Source organism: Homo sapiens, chromosome 6 (assembly GCF_000001405.40).
Source record: "Homo sapiens chromosome 6, GRCh38.p14 Primary Assembly".
Lineage (NCBI taxonomy): Eukaryota > Metazoa > Chordata > Mammalia > Primates > Hominidae > Homo > Homo sapiens.
Window position 1 is genome coordinate 151451976 of NC_000006.12, and position 27388 is coordinate 151479363.

At 40.6% G+C, this 27388-nt stretch overlaps 2 protein-coding genes and 1 long non-coding RNA gene across 8 annotated transcripts in view, besides 4 other annotated features; 2 read left to right on the forward strand and 1 right to left on the reverse strand.

The window, feature by feature from the left end:
- Positions 1-151, reverse strand: part of RMND1 (required for meiotic nuclear division 1 homolog) — a 47365-nt gene extending 47214 nt beyond the window's left edge. For all 5 annotated transcript variants that reach the window (NM_001271937.2, XM_047418959.1, NM_017909.4 and 2 more), the window contains exon 1: positions 41-151. The gene's annotated coding sequence lies outside the window, so the exon portion shown is untranslated. The remainder of the gene's footprint in view (positions 1-40) is intronic.
- Positions 119-568: an enhancer, noted in NCBI's record as "active region_25283". NCBI's record gives its function as "activates an Ori minimal core promoter by ATAC-STARR-seq in GM12878 lymphoblastoid cells {active_cell/tissue: GM12878}" and the evidence as "EXISTENCE:reporter gene assay evidence [ECO:0000049][PMID:35858748]".
- Positions 491-18126, forward strand: DCPH1 (damage control phosphatase 1). 2 transcript variants are annotated; one of them, NM_024573.3, is made up of 5 exons: positions 491-611; positions 2573-2678; positions 6353-6597; positions 12478-12643; positions 16368-18126. In NM_024573.3, the coding sequence occupies exons 1-5, from the start codon at positions 571-573 to the stop codon at positions 17133-17135; spliced, it is 1326 nt and encodes a 441-aa protein (NP_078849.1). In that variant the 5' UTR covers positions 491-570; the 3' UTR covers positions 17136-18126. The 2 variants fall into 2 exon arrangements, with proteins under 2 accessions (NP_078849.1, NP_001273491.1); NM_001286562.2 differs by lacking the exon at positions 2573-2678.
- Positions 729-848: a silencer, noted in NCBI's record as "silent region_17688". NCBI's record gives its function as "represses an Ori minimal core promoter by ATAC-STARR-seq in GM12878 lymphoblastoid cells {active_cell/tissue: GM12878}" and the evidence as "EXISTENCE:reporter gene assay evidence [ECO:0000049][PMID:35858748]".
- Positions 3427-4184: an enhancer, noted in NCBI's record as "OCT4-NANOG-H3K27ac hESC enhancer chr6:151776537-151777294 (GRCh37/hg19 assembly coordinates)". NCBI's record gives its function as "activates a minimal SCP1, AML or CMV promoter by ChIP-STARR-seq in primed H9 embryonic stem cells {active_cell/tissue: H9 hESC(primed)}" and the evidence as "EXISTENCE:reporter gene assay evidence [ECO:0000049][PMID:30033119]".
- Positions 3819-4113: a silencer, noted in NCBI's record as "tiled region #1820; K562 Repressive non-DNase unmatched - State 16:ElonW". NCBI's record gives its function as "represses a minimal TATA promoter and a strong SV40 promoter by Sharpr-MPRA in K562 cells {active_cell/tissue: K562}" and the evidence as "EXISTENCE:reporter gene assay evidence [ECO:0000049][PMID:27701403]".
- A 3925-nt stretch (positions 18127-22051) lies between the features above and the next one.
- Positions 22052-27147, forward strand: LOC124901434 (uncharacterized). The gene is made up of 2 exons (XR_007059815.1): positions 22052-22544; positions 25348-27147. It is a non-coding gene; the product is annotated as an uncharacterized LOC124901434 (long non-coding RNA).
- The last annotated feature ends 241 nt before the right edge of the window (positions 27148-27388 follow it).

Sequence of the window (27388 nt, forward strand, 5' to 3'; positions counted from 1 at the left end):
CGGACCACTCGAGCTGCTAAAGAAAAGGCAATACACTAACCTCTCCGCCGGAAGAGAAGAAGGAAGCGCCAGGGACGCACGCTTCCTCGGCAGGACTGCAGGGAAAGAGCCGCACCCCCAGCCTCTCACTACTGCAGCCAACCCATCTCCTGGAAGGGCGCTCCCGCCCACCCCCGCTACTGCGCAGCCGCACTGAACTCTGGTCCCACTTAGCGGGAGAAACTCGGGCCACGTGACTGTCTGACCACGTGAGCCGCGTCGCCGCGACCTCTTCCGCTCCCTAGGCCCTGGGACCTCCCGGTCCCTTGCCTGCTTCCGGCTTTCGCTCGCTTCCATATCCGCTCCTCTAGTCGCCCTCCGCTGGCCCCGCCTTCGTCCCCGGAAGATTGGGTCTTCTGGCGAGCCACTGTTTGCCGTTTGATCGGGCACCAAATAAAGTTTCTTTATTCAAAAGCACTTTTTTTTTAAAGCCACACCACCCCCATTCTCAGCTCCTCCTTCGCGGCGGTACCGCCTCTGTTTCTGCGGCGATTGAACAGCCGAGCTTTGCGGCCGGGATCGCGGAAAGTGATGGCTGTCGTCCCGGCGTCTCTCTCAGGACAGGACGTGGGGTTAGTCTAGCTTTTCTCCTCCCCACTTTTGCGGAAAGCCGGGCCTCGCCGGGAGCCTGTGGGGACTAAGCGGAGGGCGCCCGCTCCCCGGTGGGCTGCGTTCGAGTCCCGCCGCCGGGCGCGGCTTTCCGGGGCGCCTTTGCGGGTTTCGCGGACTGGCTCGGAGGCGAAGGGAGGCGGCCCCGGGGAGGGAGCCTGCCCGCGGCGGCTGCTCGTAAGGATCAGGACAGGGGTCAGCTTCGCGGTCTGTTCCTGGCGGTCACTTTTTATTTATTCACTTTAATAGACGCGCTTTGGGGGCGTTAAAATTCTGCGTAAGAGTTGGGGATCTCAGCGCTATTAAGAAACGGGTTTCTCCCTGTTGTTGATCAAATCGTAATCTCACAGTAAGAACTGTCTAGTTTTTTGCTTTATAGTCGTCACGCTACTGATTCTTGGGTAAAGTTGTGGGTGACCGTGCAAATAACATCCATTTGCATAAATCGAATGGCCAAATTTATATTTGAAATTTGTCCTTACTTCAAAATATTGCAAAAGACGAGAACACTTTGAAGAAAATAAACCTGGGCAGAAAGTAGGTTGAGGCCAACAAAGTGGCGCCAATGGCCCCAAATTGAGGCAGTCACTGTTTCAGGTCATGCAAGTATAGAGAGTATCTCCTTCAATTTTGCGCCCTAGGGCTTCTGGCCTCACTCCAGTCCTGGCCAGAGACTTTGTTCCAGAGGTGCAGGAAATGTAGTAGTTAGGAAAACAGTAATACTTTCCAATTAAAGTAAAATCTCAAAAAAGGACTTACTATACCTACTGCCTGGGAAAATTCAAGTGACAGTTGATTTAATGTTCCTGCTCACCCTCTGAGGTATTAGTGATTTCTTTTATTAATGATTTTTAAAAATTAAATTCTGATCAACGTAGTTATTATGCGCATTAAAACCTAATCACTGTTTTGGGTGGTACTGAAAGCACCACAGAGTCGGAAAGTGTGTGCAGTTTTTTTCTTAAAGTTCTATAGCTATCATTTGAGGAAACCTTTTGAAGAAATACCCAAGTTACAATCTAGTAATTTAACAATTGTCTCCTGTGATCTGGAGATAAAAACACTAGTCAGCTAAGCTCTGTGCTCTATATTTAAAACTGCACAGAATTTCTCCACCAAATAAAGCTTTTTTTCTACCTGTATCATGTATTTCCTTAGAATGATATAAAATGATAATCTGTAAATCTTGGGTTTTGTATGAATAAAATCAAGAATATCTTTAATTTTTTAATGCAGGTATAAGTTTTTCTTCATCTCCAGCTTGCTTCATTCTTGAACACTTCTATAAAATCTCTGATTTTTTGAGTGGGAAGAGACAGTAGCACGCCTTCATTTGCTTAGGGGCAGAATAGGATGGAAGGAGTCCATTGTGCAGATAGAGAAGGCAGAGAAGGGGAAAATTTTTGAAAATAATTAAAATTGACTTAGAAAATAGACAGAATGGAGAGAAACAGGCTTAAAAGTACCTTTAATTCTTTATGTTGTTCAAGCACATTAGACCCTTTAGGTGGTTTTAGATGCATTGCTTCATTCATCTTTCTAAGCAGGTGACTTAGCAGATAGTAGACCTGGGACAAGAGCCTGTTTGATTTCTAAGCTAATCCATTCCCTATCCTATCACTTTGCTAAGCGAGTTTCTGATTTAGGAAAATAAAAGCAATAGAATAGGAAAGATAAGAATGATTAAACAGACTCCATGGGAGAATCTGGGATTAGAGGCACCAAGACAGTTTGGCTTCCATGACATACCAGCGAATTTTCCAGGTTTTCTTATGTCTTAATATAGTAATCATACAATACTTGTCTATCTTTTAATAGTTGTATGAGGAGTTTAATATACATGAAGTGTTCCAGAAACTAAAAGATAGCCAGTCTTCTAGTATTGATGCTGCTAAGTTATATATTGCATGTGACTCTTTTCTAGATCATTTGCATATCTTACAATTAAAGACAGAATACCACAGATCTTAACTAAGGTTATTGATACATTGCATCGACATAAAAGTGAATTTTTTGAGAAACACGGAGAGGTAAGAATTGTTTTAACTTTTAATTTTTTGTTAATTTCTCAACAGAAACATAATAAATAGTTCTTGAAGGTATCAATTTTCCTTTAAATGTAAAAATCAATAGATGGGCCAAGTATTTATTTGTTTTTAAGGTAATACATTGAAATGAAGATAGAACAGCCAATCTTCAATTTAGAAAATGATTGTGTTCCAATAATTAATTCTGTCAGTTATTTAGACTTCAGAATGTATTTTCTAATATATGCAATGTTGTAATTGGTGACTGGGCAACAGACTTGCAATTGACTTAGTCAAGTGACTAAGCAATTGAGTTGCTTAGAAGAGCTTTTTAAATTTCAAGTTTAATTTGAGTTGCAGTATTTATATTACTAATTTGAGATCTTGAGTCCTGGAAGTTCAAGCTGCTATGCAAAGCTCAGTGATATGAATTATAATTGATTGACACATTGTACTGATTCAAGTTGGGACTCATTAGCATTCAGTGCAGAATAGGACTTTAGAAATCACTTTGTCCATTCAATTAATGGATGAGGAAAAATCCAAATAACTATGTTATTGAAGGGGTGGGTTGCCCCTCCACACCTGTGGGTGTTTCTCGTAAGGTGGAACGAGAGACTTGGAAAAGAAAAAGACACAGAGACAAAGTATAGAGAAAGAAATAAGGGGACCTGGGGAACCAGCGTTCAGCATATGGAGGATCCCGCCAGCCTCTGAGTTCCCTTAGTATTTATTGATCATTCGTGGGTGTTTCTCCGAGAGAGGGATGTGTCAGGGTCACAAGACAATTGTGGGGAGAGGGTCAGCAGACAAACACGTGAACAAAGGTCTTTGCATCATAGACAATGTAAAGGATTAAGTGCTGTGCTTTTAGATATGCATACACATAAACATCTCAATGCTTTACAAAGCAGTATTGCTGCCCGCATGTCCCACCTCCAGCCCTAAGGCGGTTTTTCCCTATCTCAGTAGATGGAACATACAATTGGGTTTTATACCGAGACATTCCATTGCCCAGGGACGGGCAGGAGACAGATGCCTTCCTCTTGTCTCAACTGCAAGAGGCATGCCTTCCTCTTACACTAATCCTCCTCAGCACAGACCCTTTACGGGTGTCGGGCTGGGGGACGGTCAGGTCTTTCCCTTCCCACGAGGCCATATTTCAGACTATCACATGGGGAGAAACCTTGGACAATACCTGGCTTTCCTAGGCAGAGGTCCCTGCGGCCTTCCGGCCTTCCGCAGTTTTTGTGCCCCTGGGTACTTGAGATTAGGGAGTGGTGATGACTCTCAAGGAGTATGCTGCCTTCAAGCATCTGTTTAACAAAGCACATCTTGCACCGCCCTTAATCCATTTAACTCCGAGTTGACACAGCACATGTTTCAGAGAGCACGGGGTTGGGGGTAAGGTTATAGATTAACAGAATCTCAAGGCAGAAGAATTTTTCTTAGTACAGAACAAAATGGAGTCTCCTATGTCTACTTCTTTCTACACAGACACAGTAACAATCTGATCTCTCTTGCTTTTCCCCACATGTTATGTTAGACATAGGTCTTTAAACTTGTAGGTTCAGTAATCTTTCTATTACACAATAGACTGTAAAAGAGCATACATATACCAGTACATTTTTTTTGAGAGTTGAAAACAAAAATTTAGAGAAATGGTTGGTGATCTTTTCTCCTTGGCCAAATTGAAATGGAGCAAGATAACACACATGCAGTTTGAGTGTAATGTTCTACTTCTTTCAACTTCTTTTATATTGTCTTGTTTAAAACTAATCCTGGCATAACACAGGGATTACCTGTTGTTCCTTGTTGCTAAAATCCGGCTTAATTTAGACACTGACAATTATATTGCTGAATGGTTTTAATGTTTATCACATAAACATAATTTTGGTAACTGACATATCTTTATCACACAAGTATAATTTAGCCAAATTTGGATAGTTCACTTTAGTATTTGGTCATATACGCAAGCAAATTACCATAATACTTTTGTTTTTCTTGTTGTTGTTTTTTGAGACAGGGTCTTGTTCTGTCTACTAGGCAGAGTGCAGTGGTGCAGTCATAGCTCACTGCAGCCTCAAACTCCTAGATTCCAGCAATTCTCCCAGTTCAGCATCCTAAAGTGCTGGCATTACAGGCGTGAGCCACTGTGCCTGGCCCCATAATGCTTTTGTAATTTCAGTTTTTTCGGCCAGAGTGATCTAAAATGTAGTAATTAATGAAGTCCTAGTATATTGCTACTTGGCCTGTATGCCCGTAATCACCAGGTGACTGAAGGCAGAGTTTATTGTCTCTCCAGCCCTCCCCCATTTCACACTCTACTGAGCACAGAACAAGATGTAAATTGACACAGATAAAGTCTGCTTTTGGTAGCCTTTCTGTCCCTTTTTCATGCCTCTGTTATACCTATGGCCACTCTCCTTGGGCCTCATGTGTTCTAGCTTCCTAAGCCCCCACCTATAGCAGGGCCAGGCTTATCTCCGAAGGAGCCATGCCACACAGTTTTCTATCTTCCCCCACCTCAGCGGTCAAACGTCCGTGCCCTTAGACTACCTGGTTTGGCAGATGTGTGTCTCTTGGAGACAGGACCAGGCTTTATTCATCTTTCTCTGGCCCTGAGGTTAGTGTCAGGCACATACAGGGTTCAGTAAATGTTTGAATTCAATTCAAGTAAGTGAACAAAGTGGCAGTGACATCACTATTAATCCATTAGCCTTTTTAGGTATATGCTTCTGTAAAAGGGTGCCTGACACCCTGTAAAACCTCAGTTGTTGGAATTTATAGTTAAAGAGTTGAAGTTTAAGACTTTAGGGAAGAGATTTGGAGGAGGGGGAGTTCCTCTCAAAACAGTCAGCTACAACTTCTTTTCTTCTATTTCTGAACCTGCAGAATCTCGAAAGCTTCAATCTTTTTTTCTAGCAGCAAAATAAATTGTACTTGGAACAAAAGAAAGATTGGAGAGATGTTTATATTGAGAAAATTACAGATCTGAAAGTAGGGACTAAATATCAACATGATAAAAATGATCTTATAAAAATACTCAGGCTTGATGTTTATTCTCTACATTTTATTATATACGTGTCTTATTAGGCTTACATTTTCTTTTTTTTTAATGGAGCAGGAATCTTGCTAATGTAAAACCAAGGTGTGAAGTCATTTTCACTTCATTCTGATCCCATTACATTTGTCCCCACTCCAATTGGCCTGTTATGTGAGATAATATTGTAGTGCCTTGTTTGTCAGCATATGTCATCTCTCACCTAGCTAGAACTTGGTGGAAAACAAGTTAAAAAAAATTTGAGCTACCAAAAGAAACCTCAGAAAGCCCACAGTTTCTTTTCTAGTGGTGTCAATGGTGAAAGAAGAATATGTATGGAAGCATGAAAGACATGGAAAATCTGGCAGGGGTTCCTTTCCCTCTGTGGTAATGGTCATCCCACCGAAGATACAGAAAGGCCAGAACTTAGGTAGATAAGGCATGATTATGTTCATATGAGATCTGTGTGTGTTTTTTGATTTTCAGTTTAAGAGTTCTAAATGTAATGTTTAAAGAAATAAAATGTAGTTTTGAACATTTTTCTTTTCTTCTTAAGTCTGTAAAAATATGTTACCCTAGAGGAATTGCACAGACACACACACACACACAATTTATTTTTCTTGTATTTTTGCAGGAAGGCGTGGAAGCTGAAAAGAAAGCTATCTCTCTCCTTTCTAAATTACGGAATGAATTGCAAACAGATAAACCATTTATCCCCTTGGTTGAGAAATTTGTTGATACTGATATATGGAATCAGTACCTAGAATATCAACAGAGTCTTTTAAATGAAAGTGATGGAAAATCAAGATGGTTCTACTCACCGTGGTTGTTGGTAGAATGTTACATGTATCGAAGAATTCATGAAGCAATTATCCAGAGGTACGTGTGTAATCATCAACTATCAAATGTTTAGATAATTTATACTTTTTCTGAAATTGTAAAAGGATAAGTTTAAAAATAAGCACCAGTGGAAGCTTGAATTTGGTTGAGTTTAGCAAATCTTAATAGCATTGTTGGACATTTCTACAAATGTTACTGATGGACATTTCTACAAATGTTACTGATGGACATTTCTATAGCTGTTACCAATTTAACAGATTCTTGGCAATTATAATCTACTTGCCTAGAATAGACATAAGAGTAAATATCTAAAGTACGAATTGGCCAGGCCCTGAGGTTCATGCTTGTAATCCCAGCACTTTGGGAGGCTGAGGTGGGCAGATTGCTTGAGGTCAGGAGTTCGAGACCAGCCTGGCCAGCATAACGAAACCCGTCTCTACTAAAAATAAAAAAATTAGCGAGGCATGGTGGCACGGGCCTGTAATCCCAGGTACCTGGGAGGCTGAGGAATGGGAATTGCTTGAACCTGGGAGGCAGAGGTTGCAGTGTGCCAAAATTGCACCACTGCACTGCAGCCTGAGCACCGGAGTGAAACTCTGTCTCAATAAAATAGATAAATAAAGCGTGAATTAATTAAAGATTCCAACAAAGACTTCTAGAATAAAAGAAGTTTTGCTTATTGAGTAAAAAATGTAAATTTGAAATAGTTACATTTATATAAATAAGGATGGGACAAAGTAAGCATATGTTTTGTTTATTGAAATAGATAATAAACGTTACAACTTACTTGGTTTAAGGAGTCATGAGAACAGTGAATCATACTATTGTATTATAGTCTTAATCTTTCATCTTTTTTTAAAAAGGCTAGTTTAGAAAAAGATTTTAAAAGTACACATGTTTCAAAGTAACTTTTTCTAGGCTTGTTTATATTATTTAATTTTTCCTAGGAAAACATCTGATAGAGAACTAGTTTTTAGACCAGGCGTGGTGGCTCATGCCTGGAATCCCAACACTTTGGGAGGCTAAGGCAGGTGGATCACTCGAGGTCAGGAATTTGAGACCAGCCTGGTGAGCGTGGCGAAACCCCGTCTCTACAAAAAATATATAATTACCCAGGTGTGGTGGCACATGCCTGTTGTCCCAGCTACCCCGGAGGCTGAGGCATGAGAATCACTTGAACCTGGGAGGCGGAGGTTCCAGTAGCCAAGATTACACCACCGCACTCCAGCCTGGGCGACAGAGCGAGACTGTTTAAAAAAACCAAAAAACAAAAAACTGTTATTTATAGTGCCAAAGAAAAGTTAATGGGGATGATTGGATTATCCTTAATAAGCACAGGTTCCAAAAATACAGGTTTGTTAAGAGGAATCCTTTGGTATCTGTTCCTAAACATAGCATAGGACAATTTAAAGTGACCTATCAAGTCAGCACTAATTGTAAAATAAAATTATTTTGGGAAACATATGGAACTTTAAAATCTGTTCATTAGCTTTTTTGTCTTAATCTTACACACACACGTATATATTTTGTTGTTGTTGTTGTTCTTGTTGTTGTTTGTTTGTTTAAGATGGAGTCTCGCTCTGTCGCCCAGGCTGGAGTACAGTGGCGCGATCTTGGCTTACTACAACCTCTGCCTTCCGGGTTCAAGCAGTTCTCTTGCCTCAGCCTCCCGAGTAGCTGGGATTACAGGCACCTCCCACCATGCCTGGCTAACTTTTTTTGTTTTTGTATTTTTTGTAGAGATGGGGTTTCGTTATGTTGGCCAGGCTGGCCTTGAACTCCTGACCTCGAACTCCTGACCTCAGGTGATCTGCCCTCCTCGTCCTCCCAAAGTGCTGGGATTACAGGCATGAGCCACCACGCCCAGCCTATATATTTTTTTTTCATATCACAATTTGTTGTTTTTTCTGATAGGTAGGTTTTAGAACTTCTGATCTAAAAGCAAAATACACTATTAAAACTCTGGTGCAGGCCGGGTGCGGTGGCTCACACCTGTAATCCCAGCACTTTGGGAGGCCGAGGCAGGCAGATCAAAAGGTCAAGAGGTCGAGACCATCCTGGCCAACATGCTGAAACCCCGTCTCTACTAAAAATACAAAAATTAGCTGGGCGCGGTGGTGCGCACCTGTAGTCCCAGCTACTCAGGAGGCTGAGGCAGGAGAATCACTTGAACCCAGGAGGCGGAGGTTGCAGTGAGCCGAAATCACACCACTGCACTCCAGCCTGGGTGAAAGAGCAAGACTCTGTCTCAAAAAAAAAACAAAAAAACAACAAAAAAAACTCCGGTGCACTGCTTGGCATGGAGAAGGCACCCCAGCAGAACAGCAGAAGATGTAAGGAGCTGTCAGTAACTAGCAATGTTCTAGTGACTGTGCAACCCAGTGAAATGTAGGCGTTGTTATGGTTTCCATTTTAACAGTTTAGGTGATTGGGCTCAGAGAGATTTCTAACATGCCCAAGGTGACATGGCTAGTAGGTGGTGGAACCAGGATTTGAGCCTGGTCTGTGTGAATCAGATTAGTGTCCTTATTCAGCCATTCTTCCCAAATAGTAGATTTAGATGCCTGTCAAGGACTGAGAGTAGTCTGAAATTCGGGGTGATGGTTTCCTAATTTTGGAAAATATCTGTGGTAGGAGCCAAAGCTGCCAAAGTGTTGAAAGACTGGGTGGCATCTTGAGTGGGGTTGGTGGAGTTTGTGTGTTTAAGGCAAGAGGAATGCTGTTTCTGAGTTTGATTTTAGAGGTTGATCAGGTTCAGAGACTAAAAATACCTAGAGCAGATTTTCACAAACCTGGCTGCACATTTATGACCCAGTTGGGGAAAAGGAAGGTGGCTTCAAAAATGCGTATTTTTAGGCCAGGCACAGTGGCTTACGCCTGTGATCTCAGCACTTTGGGAGCCTGAGGCAGGTGGATCTCCCGAGGTCAGGAGTGTGAGATCAGCCTGGCCAACATGGTGAAACCCTGTCTCTACTAAAAATACAAAAATTAGTCAGGCATGGTAATGGGCACCTGTAATCCCAGCTACTCAGGAGGCTGAGGCAGGAGAATCACTTGAACCCAGGAGGTGGAGGTTGCAGTGAGCCGAGATTGTGCCGTTGTACTCCAGCCTGGGCGACAAGAGCGAAACTCCGTCTCAAAAAAAACACCACATAGTTTTAGATTATTGTGTTGGAATAAATACAAATTGCTTAATTTATCTGGGGTGGGGCCTGGGTATCAGTTTTTCTTTCGGAAGCTCAGGGAGTGATGATATCCACTGGTTCAGCGAACAGATTGTTAAATGGGATAGAGGGAACATGCATCTTTAAGTTCAAGAAACTAGAATGTTGCACAATCACGGATGTAGAACTCTTCCCAAAGCGGTTTCTGTGGCAGATAAAGAGCCATCTTACAATGGAGCCAGCACTGAAGTAATTCTTAAATGTCTAATTTTTAGGTTCTTCTATGGGGGATCCCTATCCTAGGTCAATGGCAACTCCAGACTGACCAGCTTTTATAAAAGACATGTTTATATTGATTTACCATTTTACACTGAAACATGCAATAGTCTGCCAGTCTAAATTAAGATTCAAAGTTTTAGCCATATGTGAAATTTAAACATATTAGGTAAATACACTTCAGATATTGAAAGATGAAAGTACAGAGAAAATATTAGATTTTTAGAAAAACTTTTTAATAAAGTGTAATATACATATAGAAAAATGTGCATGTCTTATGTGTTCAAGAACATACTTGTGTACCCAGTGCCCAGATCAAGAGACGGAACCTTACAGACCCCAAAAGTCCACTTTGAGTCCCTTTCCAGTCACTGCCTTCATTACTCCTCAAGGATAACCATTGTTCTGACCTGTGTTAGTTTTGCCTGTTTTTTAACTTTACTGAAATGAAATGATACAGTGTATAGTTTTGTGTCTGGCTTCTTTCACTCATTTTTATGTTTGTGAGACTCATCCATATGTTACAATATAATTATAGATCATTCATTCTCATTGCTTTATAATATTGCATTTTATGAGCATATTACAATCTGTTTACTTCGTTGTGATGGATATTTGAGTACTTTTCAGTTTGGAGTTGTTAGGAAGAATGCTGCTATAAACATTCTGACACTTTTTTGCTGAACATATGTATGAATACATCTGTTGGATATATCCCTCCCTAGAAGTGAATCACTGGGTCATAGTGTGTGTACATACACAGCTTTAGTAGATTCTAAAATAGAAAACATTCTAAAATGAGAATTTATATATAGTTATGTGAGTTTACTCTCTTAAATACGAAAATAAGGCTCATTCTTAATATGAGATGTGACTTTAATGAATGGTTTGTTAATAAAACATTAGAACATGTTTTATTAGAACTTTCTGTAAAGGGCCAGGTAGTAAATCTTTTAGGCATAGGGGCCATGTGGTCTCTGTTGCAGCTGCCGAACCTGCCATTGTCGTGTGAATGCAACCTTAAATAATATGTAAGAATGAGCATGGCTGTGTTCTAAAGAAACTTTATTCAGCGGACACCGAAATTTGAATTTCATGTGTTACAAAATACTACTTTTCTTTCACTTTGTTTTCAGCCATTCAAAAATATAAAAACCACTCTTAGCATGTGAGTCAGACAGAACAGGTGGTGGGCCGGATTGGGTCTGTGCATCCGAATGATTTTTATCCTTTTAAGTCACCTTGAGAGACTGACTGATTTCAGCGGTGCTGCCATTGCTAAAACCATCTTTGAATTATTTGGAACTTCTTTCAGAGCCAGTTTACATGCCTCAAAATGAAAATTAGTCTTCCTGTATTTTTACTCATTTTTGATTAAAAAAAAAGTTTTTATCCAATTTGATCACACACCTCATTCTACTGAAATCACTCCGAGTGACTTTTGGCTGTTTCCAAAAATAAATTGACTCCAAAGGATGAAGATATGTGATCACTGACAGGAGGTTTAATGATGTGCCATAGGTTCTGAAGAAAATTCCTAAAGAGGAATTCCAAAAGTGCTCTGAGCAATGGCAGCGCCCTTGGAATAAGGGTGTAGCTTCCCGAGGTGACTGACTGGCTGGAAGGAGGCAGCCATCATTTGGATGTTTAAATACTGGTATGTTATTTAAAAAAACAAAACAAAACAAATCAAGCCGATTACATCAGTGTTAGATTGTTTTTACCCTAACATGAATGACCCATGGAAAAAGTAGCTAATTTGGAAGACCCAATAATCTGAATGTCTTTTATATTCAATTCAGTAAAGATTATTATATTAGTATTTATATCTCCTTAGTTATGATTTTCTTAGGCCAATATAATATGATTTAATCTCTCACTGGAAAACATGAAGGTGTAGCCATGCCACATATATCACCTTTGGTTAAAGTTGCCCAAAAATACCTAAAATTAGTGATAAAAAATTATCATTCTTCTAAAACTTACAATAGTATTGTCTGATTTATCTTAAGTACTCATTGTATTTCCATCATACTCTGTGTTTCATTCTGTTAATGATTGCTGCATTGTATTCAAATATTCTGTTTATATTCTATACATTTGTTACTGGAACTCTGCCACATCGGTGGTTAAAAAATGTTTGTTGAACTAAAGCAGTTGTCTTGAAATTTATCTTTCTCCTTCTTGTGCCCTGGAATCCCTGCTAGGTAGATAATTATGAGCATAGTCACTATCACTATTTAATATGTCCAGAAAAATACTTGATTTGGGAACTTTTTTGACAATTAAAATGAGTTTGAGAGATTTTTGTGTAATTTGATTATTTAGTATTAAGTTTTTCTAGTTAATTAGATAAATGTTATATCTAGTTTCTGTTAGCACTGATTATTGAGACTGTATGGTGCTATTTTCTTTCAAGAACTGCAGTTATCCAAATGTACAAACTAAAATGTTTCACTTTGTTTTTCTCCTACTTTAGTCCACCAATCGATTACTTTGATGTATTTAAAGAATCAAAAGAGCAAAATTTCTATGGGTCACAGGAATCCATCATTGCTTTATGTACTCACCTGCAACAATTGATAAGAACTATTGAAGACCTAGATGAAAATCAGCTGAAAGATGAGTTTTTTAAACTTCTGCAGGTAAATGTGATCATTAATCTTCTGAGTATGTTTTATTTAAACAGAAAATAAACTGCTATACAGTTAACAAAACATGTAAATATTTTTCTTTGCTATAATTGATGATTTTTTATCTAGTGGTGTTAAAAGATGAAAATCCATTTAATTGCTAGAAATGGGTTTGAAATATTTTTCTGCTCTCACTGGCTATGATTTTAGTGGCAAAGAAGTTATCTGACTTCCTAGCTTCTGTCATACTTGAGAGAATACTTCATAGTAATTTGCTTAGCTTTTGTCATGCTTGAAAGAATTCTTAATAGTAATTTGGTCTCCCAGCTGACTTGGGTGTGTGTTGGCTCTGTGGCTAATTTGTGTTTGGACCTGAGGCCTGTCACTTAATTTCTCTGGGCCTCAGTTTCCTCCTCTGTTCAGTGAGGATAATGTGTACTGTGTAATTTGATGTGAGAATTCAACTAGATGCTTGCATGTGAAGTGCTGAGCACAGAGCCTGGGATACAGCCTGCTGTTAGCATCGGTAGGTGATAATACTCGGGTATTCAGTTGGCCCATTAATACAGTTTCATTACATTTCTTTATCTTGTATTCAGTTTAGTTTTTAATTCATGCAAACATCCTGAAATTTACAACACATTATTAGAATCAGAACTATTAGGAGACGTGGTACACAGCAGTATCCCCAGCCCTCACATTTTCCAGAAAAAGTGAGGAAGACTTTCAAAAAGAAATGTTAGAAAGTGCTATGAAGAGAAATAAAGCAGGAAAAGGGCGTTGGGAATGTTGGAGAAGGGATCAGGGCTGCCAGGGAAGGGTCCATGGAGGCTGAGGCCACAGACCTGAAGGCAGGGAAGGAGTAAGTCAGGTGTATGTCTGCGGAGTACATGGAGAGGTGAGAAAAATTGCAAGGAAACCCTGTAGTTACTGAGAGGTAGCGGGGTGGAAGGGACACAGAACGGCTTGTATTAAATAAATTTTTACTAAAAGTGAAACAGAAGCCATCAGAGGGTTTTGAACAGAGAGGTAATGCTATTTGACTATTTCAAGGAATGTTTCTGAGAATAGACTGCAGGGGCTGAAGGTGGAAATGGGGAGAGCTGGTCTGAAAATGACTTGGGGAGGGAGGTTGGGGCCAAGTTGGTAGCATAAGAGTTAGTGACATCACCAGAGCCTGGGTGTTCTTTGAACATAGAAGCTACAGAACTTGCTAACAGATTATACCTGGAGACGAAGCCCTGGTGAGACCCCGAGGGCAAGCAAAGTCACAAATAAAGGCATATTTTGAGTTCAAAACAAAAATTGTCAGGACATTGTTTTGTTTTTTGAGACAGAGTCTCGCTCTGTTGCCCAGGTTGTAGTGCAGTGGCACGATCTCAGCTCACTGCAACCTCCGTCTCCCGGGTTTAAGCAATTCTCCTGCCTCAGCCTCCTGAGTAGCTGGAATTACAGGCGTATGCCACCACACCTGGCTAATTTTTGTATTTTTAGTAGAGACTGGGTTTCGCCATGTTGGCCAGGCTGGTCTTGAACTCCTGACCTCAGGTGATCTGCCCACCTTGGCCTCCCAAAGTGCTGGGATTATAGGCATGAGCCACCTTGCCTGGCCCAGGACATTGTTAACTAATAAACCTTGTTTTTTGTTTTTTCCTGTTAACTCTGCCTTATGCTTAGCCTTGGAATTAAAAAAAAAAAGACTGGCATGCTAGTTCTTGACTCCTAGCTAGCCCATTCTTTCAGGGAATCATCTTCTTTGAATGTGTTCTTTGTCCCATAGTATAATAAACTATGAAGAAGAATGAGCATGCATCTATTTTCTGTCATCTGATTTAGCTAACAACTTCTTCACACTGTCACTGTGCTCCCAAGTGAAGGGGGCCAGAGTTGCCTCCATTTGGTGTCCGCAGTGAGCAACAGGTTAACGTTTCAAGGGAAGCTTGAAAACATTCTCGTTTTCAGAGAATGTTGATCTCTTTCAAAAGTCATAGCACTCTCCCACTGTCGACACACACATTTCTGGGGCTACTGTGTCAAATGCCATTCTAGGTGCTGGGCACGTAGTGGTAAAACAAGAACAGGCTGATCCTCCCTATCAAAACTTGTAATCTTGAGGGAATATAGACAATGAAGTAATTGCACAAAGAGCTATGCCATTACAAACTGGAAGACGGTGTGAAGGGAAAGTGCAGGAGGCTAGCACAGAACCTGCTCTCAGTCGCTGAAGGCCATCGTGGACACCATTGTATGAATTTCTTCAGGAAACTCTAGAAAAAGGTGACCTTGGACACTTTAGTTATTATTTAAGCCTTTTTTTTAAAAAAAATTTATTCATTTATCTCTTTTTAAAATAATACTGTTCGGCCGGGCATGGTGGCTCACACCTGTAATCCCAGCACTCTGGGAGGCCGAGGTGGGCAGATCACCTGAGGCCAGGAGTTTGAGACCAGCCTGGCTAACATGGTAAAACCCCATCTCTACTAAAAATACAAAAAATTAGCCAGGCGTGGTGGTGGGCGGCTGTAATCCCAGCTACTTGGGAGGCTGAGGCAGGAGAAAAGCTTGAACCCGTGAGGCAGAGGTGCAGTGAGCCAAGATCGCACCACCGCACTCCAGCCTCGGTGACAGAGGAGACTCTATCTCAAAAAAAAAAAAAACAAAACCCTATTGGTTGGAACATGCATTCTCCTTATTTTAAATCACAAATGAGGGCCTGACAAGGTGGCTCATGCTTATAATCTCAGCATTTTGGGAGGCCACGGCAGGAGGATTGCTGGAGGCCAGGAGATGGAAATTAGCCTGGTCAACATAGTGAGACCCCATCTTTATTAAAAAAAAAATCACAAATGAGAGTAGAGTCTGTTTTGGCTAGTGTTTATTGAGTACTTCTATATGCCAGGTATTTGGTACATTATTTACATGCATTATATCAATTCTCACAATAATTCTGTGAGGTAAGTACTAGTATCTCGTTTTTCAGTTGCAGGACTTGAGCCTTAGAGAGCTTAAGTAATTTGTTGATGATCATAAACTGAAGATGCTGAGTTTGAACCCAGGTCGAGCTGGAAGTCCTAAACGTGTAATTTTATGGCTTAAAAAAAAATAGGCCTACATACTGTTTTTCTACAAAATGTAATTGAGTATTAATTCAATTTAAAGCTGAATAAGATAATTGATTACAATGGGTCTTTAGTTAACATGACCTTGTTTAAAAAGTAGCGTCTTTAGATATCACTTTGTTCAGTTTTTTAAATTTTACAAATGAGAGAACCAAATCCCAGAGAGGTGTCACGTCCTAAGGTTATGCAATTAGTGAAAGAAACTGGACAGTTCTGCAGGGCCAAGGAGGAAAAAATAAACTTTTATTTCTTCTCTTGACTCTGGATTATATGGGCAACTTTGAGCCTCTCTTCACACATCCGATGATGTTCTAATATCTGCAAGCTGCAAAAACTTTTATTCTGAATAAACAATGTGAGTGCTGAAATAATTGAAACCAGTTTTTTTAAGTCCATTACATACTGATGAATTAAAAATTTCAGTTTTATCTTGTTAATACAGCATCATGTGAAATAATTTTTGTGCATTGTTAGAGAAAGTATAGATTTGATGGTCATGTAAAGAGTTTTGTAGATATTTAGTAGTTTTTTAGCAATGTCCCCCCATCCCGCTACATAATGGAGTTTTGTTGGCTATTCAGAAGAAGGGTGAATATTTTGTACTTTTTCTTTTTCAGATTTCACTGTGGGGAAATAAGTGTGATCTGTCTCTCTCAGGTGGAGAAAGTAGTTCTCAGAATACCAATGTACTAAATTCATTGGAAGACCTAAAACCTTTCATTTTATTGAATGATATGGAACATCTTTGGTCATTGCTTAGCAATTGCAAGAAAACAAGAGAAAAAGCTTCTGCTACTAGAGTGTATATTGTTCTCGATAATTCTGGATTTGAGCTTGTTACAGATTTAATATTAGCCGACTTCTTGTTGTCCTCTGAACTGGCTACTGAGGTTCATTTTTATGGAAAAACAATTCCATGGTTTGTTTCTGATACTACTATACATGATTTTAATTGGTTAATTGAACAGGTAAAACACAGTAATCATAAGTGGATGTCCAAGTGTGGGGCTGACTGGGAAGAGTATATTAAAATGGGTAAATGGGTTTACCACAATCATATATTTTGGACTCTGCCTCATGAGTACTGTGCAATGCCTCAGGTTGCACCTGACTTATATGCTGAACTACAGAAGGCACATTTAATTTTATTCAAGGGTGATTTGAATTACAGGAAGTTGACAGGTGACAGAAAATGGGAGTTTTCTGTTCCATTTCATCAGGCTCTGAATGGCTTCCATCCTGCACCACTCTGTACCATAAGAACATTAAAAGCTGAAATTCAGGTTGGTCTGCAGCCTGGGCAAGGGGAACAGCTCCTGGCCTCTGAGCCCAGCTGGTGGACCACTGGAAAATATGGAATATTTCAGTACGATGGTCCCCTTTGACTTGATTTAGGAGCTCTCAGTTGCATAGAAAGATCTGGTGAGCACCTTTTCATCCCCAGAAAAGGAGCACGTGAATTGAGTCGCCTGGCGGCTCTGTACGCGCTCAGGGAAGCTTAGCTTCTTGGTGCCCATCTACGTGCACTGGATGATTTTTCTTTTGAACATTTTGCCCCACTACACTGTTTTGGGGATAGCTGGGTTAAGCAAGTTAAAGATATTTACATTTATATTGGAATTTTAGCAACTTTTTTTCAGGTTAAATATATAATTTCAAGTGCTTTTAATGAACTTATTTTTAATTGGCTAGGGAGCAAAAAATAAGTGAGTTCTGCTTTTAGTTAGTTAACCTTGTTCTTTTCTTAAATAGTACACTGCATGGTATTTAATATTCCAGGAAGCATGGGATTTTATTTTGCTTGATTTTGGGCACATGAAATAATAGCTCTAGGAAAATGCGCATCTTAATGACTCTTTGTAAAGAGAGGCATTTCTTACAACTGTGATGTTTGCTTACATAAAAGTTACCTCATAAGTTAATTCTAACTTTTATTCTTGAATTTTATTTCATTTCAATAGCTTGTTTCATTTGCACGCCTTTGTATTTTGATTGACCTGTAGAATGGATGTTAGGAAACTCAAAATTGAACACAGTGAAACAAATGGTATTTGAAGAAATGTAATATCTTTTATATTCTATTTATGATATCCATAATCAAATGAGATTATTTTACCACATAAATGTTTTAAATATCAGATTTTTAGTTTGCAGTTTTAGGAAAATGCTTTAGATAGAAAAGGTTCTTATGCATTGAATTTGGAGTACTACCAACAATGAATGAATTTATTTTTTATATTCTTACACATTTTATTGGTCATTGTCACAGATAGTAAATACTAAAAATTTCAGGTCAGTTTGTTTTGAAACTGAAATTGGAAATAAATCTGGAAATGTTTTGTTGCACTAAAATAATAAAATGAATTGTACTGAAAATCTCCTTGGTTTTATTTTCTAGTGGGGAAAAGTCAAGAAAGGAAGATTAAAAATGAGATTTATATAAAAAGAGACATAATATATATTCTAGATGTTGCCAAAAGCAGTTATTAAATATCATTTATAAAAGGTTATTAGTCTATGCTCTTGCTAAGTATTAAAAAAGATTTTTGCAAAATGTTTATATAAAGCTGTACATTTTGAATCTACTGTGTTTCTTTATCCACATGTGTGCCTATTTTAAAGAGTAAGTTTGTAAAATGCTTCCATATTAGAATTATTTGTAGGCATTTGACATAATTTAGAACACAGTTGTATATTTAGGTTGACTTCATAGCCACCGTGTGAGCTCCAGCACTGGAAGTAGTTCAGCACCCCCACTCCCCCATGAAAAAGAGCAAGGAAGCAAACTAGTGCGAGAAAGGTGGCACTGAGGAAGAGGAAGTCAGGTCAAGGTGGAATTTTTTTTAATGCTTAGCAGGAGGAAGGGCCTACCTATGTTTTCACCAGTTAATTTTTAAGTTTTAATGTTAGTTTAGTGTTGTTTTATTTTTAAGACAGGGTCTCGCCCTGTTTTCCTGGCTGGAGTGCAGGGCATGATCACAGCTCACTGTAGTCTTGACCTCCCGGACTTAGGCGATCCTCTCACCCCAGCCTCTTCAGTAGCTGAAAATATGGGTGTGTGCCACCATGCCCAGCTAATTTTTTTTATTTTGTAGCGATGAGGTCTCACTATGTTGCCCAGAACTGGTCTCAAACTATTGGCTTCAGCCTCCCGAAGTGCTAGGATTATAGGCAAGGCCACCGTGCCCAGCCTCACCAGTTGATTTTTTTTTTTTTTTTGAGACGGAGTCTCACTCTGTTGCCAGGCTGGAGTCCAGTGGCGCAATCTCAGCTCACTGCAATCTCCGCCTTCCAGGTTCAAGTGGTTCTCCTGCCTCAGTCTCCCAAGTAGCTGGGATTACAGGTGCGGGCCACCACCCCAGCTAATTTTTGTAGTTTTAGTAGAGACGGGGTTTCACCATGTTGGCCAGGATGGTCTCTATCTCCTGACCTCGTGATCTGCCCGCCTCGACCTCCCAAAGTGCTGGGATTACAGGTGTGAGCCACCGCACCTGGCCCAGTTGATTTTTTAAAACAGCTTTACTGAAATATAAATACAATTCATCCATTTAAAGGGTACGGTATTTCAGTATATTCACAGGGTTGTTTTTGTCACAGCTAAAACAAACTAGTACCCATTGATAGTCATTCCCCTTTGCCCTCTCCTTAGCACTTGGCGACCACAAATCTTTCTGTCTATATGAATTTAAATGTTCTGGACATTACATATAAATAGAATCAAAATAGGCGGTCTTTTGTGACTAGCTTATTTTGAAGGTTCATCAGTTGTATGTGTCAGTCAGTCCCAACACTTCTCTAATTAGGACTCTACAAGTACTTCATCTTTTTTGATGGCTGAATACTTTTTTTTTTTTTTTTAAGAGATGAGGTTTTGCCATGTTGCCCAGCCTGGTCCCCAACTCCTGGGCTCAAGCAATCCACCGGTCTAGGCCTCCCAAAGTGCTGGGATTACAGTTGTGAGCCACTGCGCCCGGCCCAAATACTATTCCATTGTATGGACATATACCACGTTTTATTCATTTGTCAGGTGATGGGCATTTGGGTTGTTTCCACTTTTTGACTATTATGAATAATGCTGCTATGACATTCATGTACAAGACTTGTGTATGTTTTCACTTCTTTTGGGTATATATGTAGGGGTGAAAGTGTTCCATCATATGGTAACTGTAATGTTTTGTGTGTCTGTCAAATACTTTCCCCGAAGTGTTTGCATCATTTCACATTCCTTCCAACAATGCACGACGGCTCCAACTTCACATTTTTGTCAGCACTTGTTACTCTTTTTTTTTTTTTTTTTTTGAGACAGAGTCTTGCTCTGTCACCCAGGCTGGAATGCAGTGGCATGATCTCGGCTCACTGCAACCTTGCCTCCTGGGTTCAAGTGATCCTCTTGCCTCAGTTTCCCAAGTAACGGGGATTACAGGCACGCACAACCATGCACCAGTTAATTTTTGTATTTTTTTTAGTAGAGACTGGGTTTCACCATGTTGGCCAGGCTGGTCTTGAACTCCTGACCTCAAGTAATCCACCCGCCTCAGTCTCCCAAAGTGCTGGGATTACAGGCGTGAGCCACTGTGCCTGGCCTGTTATTAATAGTATCCGTGTTTTTGACTATAGCTGAACTGTTGGGTGCAAAGTGGGAATCTCATGCTTTTGAATGGCATTTCCCTAATGAATAATGTTGAGCATATTTTCATGTGCTTATTGGCCATTTGTGTATCTTCTTTGGGAAGATGTCTTCAATTCCTTTGCCCATTTAAACATTATCTTCTTATTGAGTTATAAGGTTTAAAAGATATATTCTGGGCTGGGCGCAGTGGCTAACGCCTGTAATCCCAGCACTTTGGGAGGCCGAGGCGGGCAGATCACAAGGTCAAGAGATCAAGACCATCCTGGCCAACGTGCTGAAACCCTGTCTCTACTAAAAATACAAAAAATTAGCTGGGCATGGTGGCTCATGCCTGTAATCCCAGCTACTTGGGAGGCTGAGGCAGGAGAATCGCTTGAACCAGGGTGGTGGAGGTCGCAGTGAGCCGAGGTCATGCCACTGCATGCCAGCCTGGTGACAAAGTGAGACTCTGTCTCAAAAAAAAAAAAAAAAAAGATATATATATATATATTCTGGCCAGGCGTGGTGGCTCATGCCTGTAATCCCAGCACTTTAGGAGGCCGAGGTGGGCAGATCATGAGATCAGGAGTTCGAGGACAGGCTGGCCAATATGGAGAAACCCCTTCTCTACTAAAAAATACAAAAATTAGCTGGGCGCGGTGGCGCATGCCTATAGTCCCAGCTACTCAGGAGGCTGAGGCAAGAGAATCGCTGGAACCTGGGAGGCCGAGGCTGCAGTGAGCCAAGATCATGCCACTGCACTCCAGCCTGGGCGATAAGAGCGAGACTCCGTTTCAACAACAACAACTATATGTATAAATAATATATATATATATTTTCTGGATACAGGTCTCTTATTGGACATATGACTTATAAATATTTTCTCCAATTCTGTGTGTTGTCTTATCAATTTCTTGATGGTATCAGTTTGCAGCACAAACGTTTTAAATTTGGATAAATACTTTTATTGCAAAACATTGGTGTTGGAGCTGCTTAAACTCCTCTTAAGGGTCTCTAAAGTGAGGGACTGCCAACCTTCTCTCAACCCCCGTCAACACTCCCCCCATCCTGCTTCCAACACTCTTGTTTCCACCTGAGCAAATGTGGCCTACACATGTTTAGTATGGGTGTAGACGAGCACAGTGAGAAAGCTGAGGTTCTGCAATGGGGTGTGAATGGGTTTTCCACTGAAGAGCTGAGTAGCCTTCCCAAAATAGCATCTTTAATTGTTTCTTAACTGCTACCACACCTACATATGAAGTAAGTGTAGCTTATAAATTTCATGCAATACATTTTTATCAAGACGTAGATCCAGTATTGTAGGTATATTAGGATGAAAATGTAGATGAAGGGCAGGTAAATAATTATGCAGAGAATGGTGTTTTTATTTAACAGCAAGTGGACAAGATTTGTTGGCATGATCCAGCTTTTCTTTTCTTTTCCTTTTTTTTTTTTTTTTGAGAAGGAGTCTTGCTCTGTCACCTAGGCTGGAGTGCAGTGGCATAATCTCGGCTCACTGCAACCTCTGCCTCTGGGTTCAAGTGATTCTCCTGCTTCAGCCTCCCCAAATAGCTGGGACTACAGGTGCACGCCACCACGCTCCGCTAATTTTTTTTTTGTATTTTTAGTAGAAACAGGGTTTCACCACGTTGGCCAGGCTGGTCTAGAACTCCTGATCTCAGGTGATCTGCCCACCTTGGCCTCCCAAAGTGCTGGGATTACAGCCGTGAGCCACCGCGCCCAGCCATGGTCCAACTTTTCGTACTAATTTGAGGCAGTGTTTGTGTTTGATAAAATGCAGTAATGTTTTTGAACCTTTATAAAGCCAAAATCCGAGTTGCTTATTCTCAAGGTCATGTTTCTATAAAAGAAAACGCACCAGCCACAAAAAGCAACACAGTTTAAACCTTTATTTGCATTTTAAGAAAACCCCAGAGTGTATTGAAAATGTAGTTCAAAGTTGCTGTTAAAATTTCCTCTCCCAATCATTTTTCTAACACAGCCCTCTGCCCAAACTCCCACTAAGCCTTATTCCAGAACATCTGCCACAAAATGTCTTTTTTCCTCTTTTTGTCTCTACCCTCTTTTTTTTTTTGCTAGATTGAGAGTGGAGAAGACTTTGAACACTTCTATGCATTCATGTCATTACCTAGATAAAGTGCTCATGCCATGTCTGACACTCCTGGTAAGTATTAAGTGATATCTTGAAATTGCAGCAAATGAATACAGCAGAGGAAAAGAAAACTCAGAAAAACAACAACAGTGGTAACACCATCTCCAAATACCCCTGTTAAGATTTGATGTATATATTGCTAAGTTCTTCTTTATGTATAGACATACTTTTTTTTTTTACATTTCTAAGATAAAAAAGCAGAATCATATCATTAAAACTTTTTTTTTTTTTTTTTTTTGAGACGAGGTCTCGCTCTCTCGCTCAGGCACTCACAGCAGCCTCGACCTCCTAGGCTCAAGTGATCTTCCCACCTCAGCCTTCCAAGTAGCTGAGACTACAAGTGTGCACCACAATGCCTGGCTAATTTAAAATTTTTTTTGTAGAGATGAGGTCTCACTTCGTTGCCCAGGCTGGTCTCAAACTACTGGGCTCAAACGAGACTACTGCCTCAACCTCCCAAAGTGCTGGGATTACAGGCATGTGCCTATATCCAGCCTTTTTTTTTTTTTTTTTTTTTAATTCTTAAGTATTTTTCGAACTTCTAAGTTTTGTTTGGTTGGTTGGTTTTGTTCTTGTTGTCGTTTTACTTTTTGTGGGGTTTTTGTTTGTTTAGTTTACTAATTGGTTCCTGTTAGATGGATAGGAGGTTTTTTTGTTTTGTTTTGTTTTGTTTTGAGACGGAGTTTCCCTCTTGTCCCCCAGGCTGGAGTGCAATGGCACAATCTCGGTTCATTGCAACCTCTGCCTCCCAGGTTCAAGCGATTCTCCTGCCTCAGCCTCCCGAGTAGCTGGGATTACAGGTGCCTGCCACTATGCCCGGCTAATTTTTGTATTTTAGTAGAGACAGGGTTTCGCCATGTTGGCCAGGCTGGTCTCGAACTCCTGACCTCAGGTAATCTACCCTCCTCGGCCTCCCAAAGTGCTGGGATTACAGGCGTGAGCCACTGTGCCCCGCCAGGAGATTTTTTTTTTTTCTGCATAGCAATATGACCCTGGTACTAAATAATGGCGTGAGACTCATAAATACTTGATTTCTAATTCTTGATTGTCTTAGTCCATTGGTGCCACTATAACAAAATACCTGAGACTAGGTAGTTTAAAAACGACAGAAATTTATTTCTCATAGTTCTGGAGGCTGGGAGTCCAAGATCAAGGTGCCAGCAGGTTTGTGGACTGGTGAGGTCCTGGTCTCAGCTTCCAAGATGGTGCCTTCTTGCTGCATCTTCTGGAGGAGGGGAGGAACACAGTGTCCTCACGTGGAGAAGGCGGACGGGCAAGGGAGCTGAATGCCGCGTGACGAGTCTGAAACCCATCTGTGAAGGAGGATCCCTCCTGACCTAATCACCTCTTAAAGGCCCCGCCTATTAATATCACCCTATTGGCCACCAGTTTCAACACATGAATTTTGGAGGGGATAGATTCAAATCATAGCACCAGTCTACTGTGAACTATGTGACCTGAGTCACATTCTTACCATTTTGCTGGAAAAAGAAACGTTAATTCCGGTCAATTTAAACTACATTGAATCCCAAACTCAAATTACCCGAGGGAAACTGGAAACTTGCTGAAAGGTATTAACATTCTGGCACCCCCTAGTGGCCACCTGAATATTCTGTAAAACCCGATTTTTTTTCCCATTTTGCTTTTCTTTGGTGTGGCACGTTTTTCGTTTTCAGTTTATTTACTATTACTTCACCCCATTTTTAAACCTTTTAGAAAATAAAAGGGAACATCAGTTCATACAGAAGACACTTCTAACTTGTCGATTCCCACTAATCTTACATTTCTTGGGGCAGCCACCACCTGTATCTTCTGTGTATTTGTCCTACACACAATTGAACACAGTAGTTGCTCAATGAATGACTGATTGATAGGTAATGCAGTCCAGTGTTTGAAATATTTCTTGTTTTGTTTTGCTTTGTTTTTTGAGATGGAGTCTAGCTTTGTCACCCAGGCTGGAGTGCAATGGTGTGATTTAGGCTCATTGCAACCTCTGCCTCCCGGGTTCAAGCGATTCTCCTGCCTCAGCCCCCCGAGTAGCTGGGATTACAGGCATGCGCCACCACACTTGGCTAATTTTTTTTTTTTTTTTGTATTTTTAGTAGAGACGGGGTTTCACCATGTTGGTGAGGCTGGTCTCGAACCCCTGAACTCAAGTGATCCACCCACCTCGGCCTCCCAAAGTGCTGGGATTACAGGCATGAGCCATCATGCCTGGCCTTGAAATATTTCTTTAAAACTCTGTGCTGATGCTATTTAAATTGAACTCTGAAGGATAAAGTGGATCTGTTGGAAAGCCTGACATATATAAGGAGATCAATAGTACTTGTTGAATGAACAAAGGAATATATATTTTATATAATTGAGGGTTTTCTTTTTTCTTTTTTCCTTTTTTTTTTTTTTTTTTTTTTGAGATGGAGTTTCACTCTTGTTGCCCAGGCTGGAGTGCAGTGGCGCAGTCTTGGCACACTGCAACCTCCACCTCCTGGGTTCAAACGATTCTCCTGCCTCAGCCTCCTGAGTAGCTGGGATTACAGGCATGCGCCACTGTGCCCAGCTAATTGTGTATTTTTAGTAGAGATGGGGTTTCACCATGTTGGTCAGGCTGTTCTTGAACGCCTAACCTCAGGTGATCCACCCGCCTCAGCCTCCCAAAGTGCTGGAGTTACAGGCGTGAGCCACCGCGCCCGGCCCGAGAGTTTTTGATAAGTGTATGCTTCTTTAAAGACTGCTTTGTTCCTTCAATATTATAATCAATTTTCCATTTGTTAAAAATTCTTCAAAAATGTATTTATTTATTTATTTTTTTTTTGAGACAGGTCCTGGCTCTGTTGCCCAGGCTGGAGTGCAGTAGCACGATCATGGCTCTCTGCAACTACCACCTCCCAGGCTCAAGAGATCCTCCCACCTCAGCCTCCCGAGTAGCTGGGACTACAGACACCTGCCACTACACCTGGCTAATTTTTGTATTTTTGGCAAATACGGCGTCTTCCTATGTTGCCCAGACTTGTCTCTAACTCCTGGGCTCAAGCGATCCTCCTGCCTTAGCCTCCCAAAGTGCTAGGATTACAGGCATGAGCCACCGTGCCCAGGCCAAGAATGTGATTTTTAAATGGCTACATTCATCATATGACTAGATCATAGTTTATTTTGCTATATAGATTATTCAAAAATTTTGGTATTAGAAAAAAAACTGAAACGAACATCTTCGGACAACTAAAGTCTTCAGATACTGCTAATTATTAAGAGCCACCCGGTTACTCTAGTCCACCTAGAATAGTGTTTGCATTAGACTCATAGCCCCAAGTTGTCAATATCAAGTAACTGTTTATCATGGGGAGGGAAACTGCTTTTTCCTCTCGTTTTTATTTATTTATTTATTTATTTTGAGACAAAGTCTCGTTCTGTCGCTCCGGCTGGGGTGCAGCGGCGCGATCTCGGCTCACTGCAACTTCTGCCTCCTGGTTCAAGCAATTCTCCTGCCTGAGCCTCTCGAGTAGCTGGGATTACAGGTGCTGGCCACCATGCCCGGCTAATTTTGTATTTTTAGTTGAGACAGGGTTTTACCGTGCTGGCCAGGCTGGTCTCAAGCTCCTGGCTTCAGGTGGATCCACTTGCCTCGGCCTACCAAAGTGCTGGATTACAGGTGTGAGCCACCACACCTGGCCACAGATTTTTGTTTTTAATGTTTTGTTAACTATTTCTATGTAAAATTTCCCTTTGCGTTGTTTATTTAAGGCATTTACACACTTTATTTGGAGGAGTCCATGGCACAAAAACAGTTATGAACATGTGCTCTGTTTTTTTTTTTCCTTTTCCCCCAATTCTCTTTCCTTTTCACAAAGTTGATGAAAGGCATGACTGATTTTATTTATTTATTTATTTATTTATTTATGAGACGGAGTCTTGCTTTGTCACCCAGGCTGGAGTGCAGTGGCGCGATCTCGGCTCACTGCAACCTCCGCCTCCTGGGTTCAAGCGATTATTCTGCCTCAGCCCCCTGAGTAGCTGGGGCTACAGGCAAGCGCCACCACATCTGGCTAATTTTTGTATTTTTAGTAGAGACGGGGTTTCACCATGTTGGTCAGGCTTGTCTTGAACTTCTGACCTCGTGATCCACCTGCCTCGGCCTCCCAAAGTGTTGGGATTACAGGAGTGAGCCACTGCGCCCATCCCATTTATTTAATTTTTTGAATCAAAGAGGAGATGCATTATAGTGTACTTTTTTCTTTCCATCTCAAATTTCACTTAATGCGAAGCCTTTCTTGTCCAGCTCCATGCCGTCAAAAGATCTTTAAAAGAAACAGAAGATTTCACATGTGTACAAGGATTGAGTCATCCTTAACCTATTATTAAGAGGATTTTTACAATTGAAAAGGACGTTTCGGGCCACCAAGCAGCTGGAAGCCAGTGAGTAAGATTTTGGAGGGAAATGGTTTTTGTGAACAGGTGGAAATGATTTGACCAGGACGCACTGGCTCACTCTTCTAACCAAATGGATGATAGAAAATTTGTGTTTTGCTCTCAACTTGAAATCCAAAATTCTACTTGTATAAATCAATCTAATTCCTGCCTTATCTTTGATAACATTACTGATAAACTGTTTAAAACTAAATGAGGTCCAACTTCACATGAATCTGTAAAAGTATGCATTAATTTTCCATTTTTATTTTTTATTTTTTCTCATCATTTCTCAAATGGAATGTGATTTGAACCACTGAAATCCAAATAATTGTGGTCTTGGAGAAGACTCATCAGCCACTTCCATTATTGAGATGAATTCAAAGAGTCAATAACTTGGGCAAGCGTCCTTCCAGTCCCAGCTCTGTTACTAAATAAGTATGTAATTTGAAGAT

Coding starts and splice junctions, on each gene's coding strand:
- DCPH1 (NM_024573.3), top strand. CDS start 571: ATGGCTGTCGTCCCGGCGTCTCTCTCAGGACAGGACGTGGG. Junction 612..2,572: donor CTCTCAGGACAGGACGTGGG/GTTAGTCTAGCT, acceptor ACTCTTTTCTAG/ATCATTTGCATATCTTACAA. Junction 6,598..12,477: donor CATGAAGCAATTATCCAGAG/GTACGTGTGTAA, acceptor CTCCTACTTTAG/TCCACCAATCGATTACTTTG.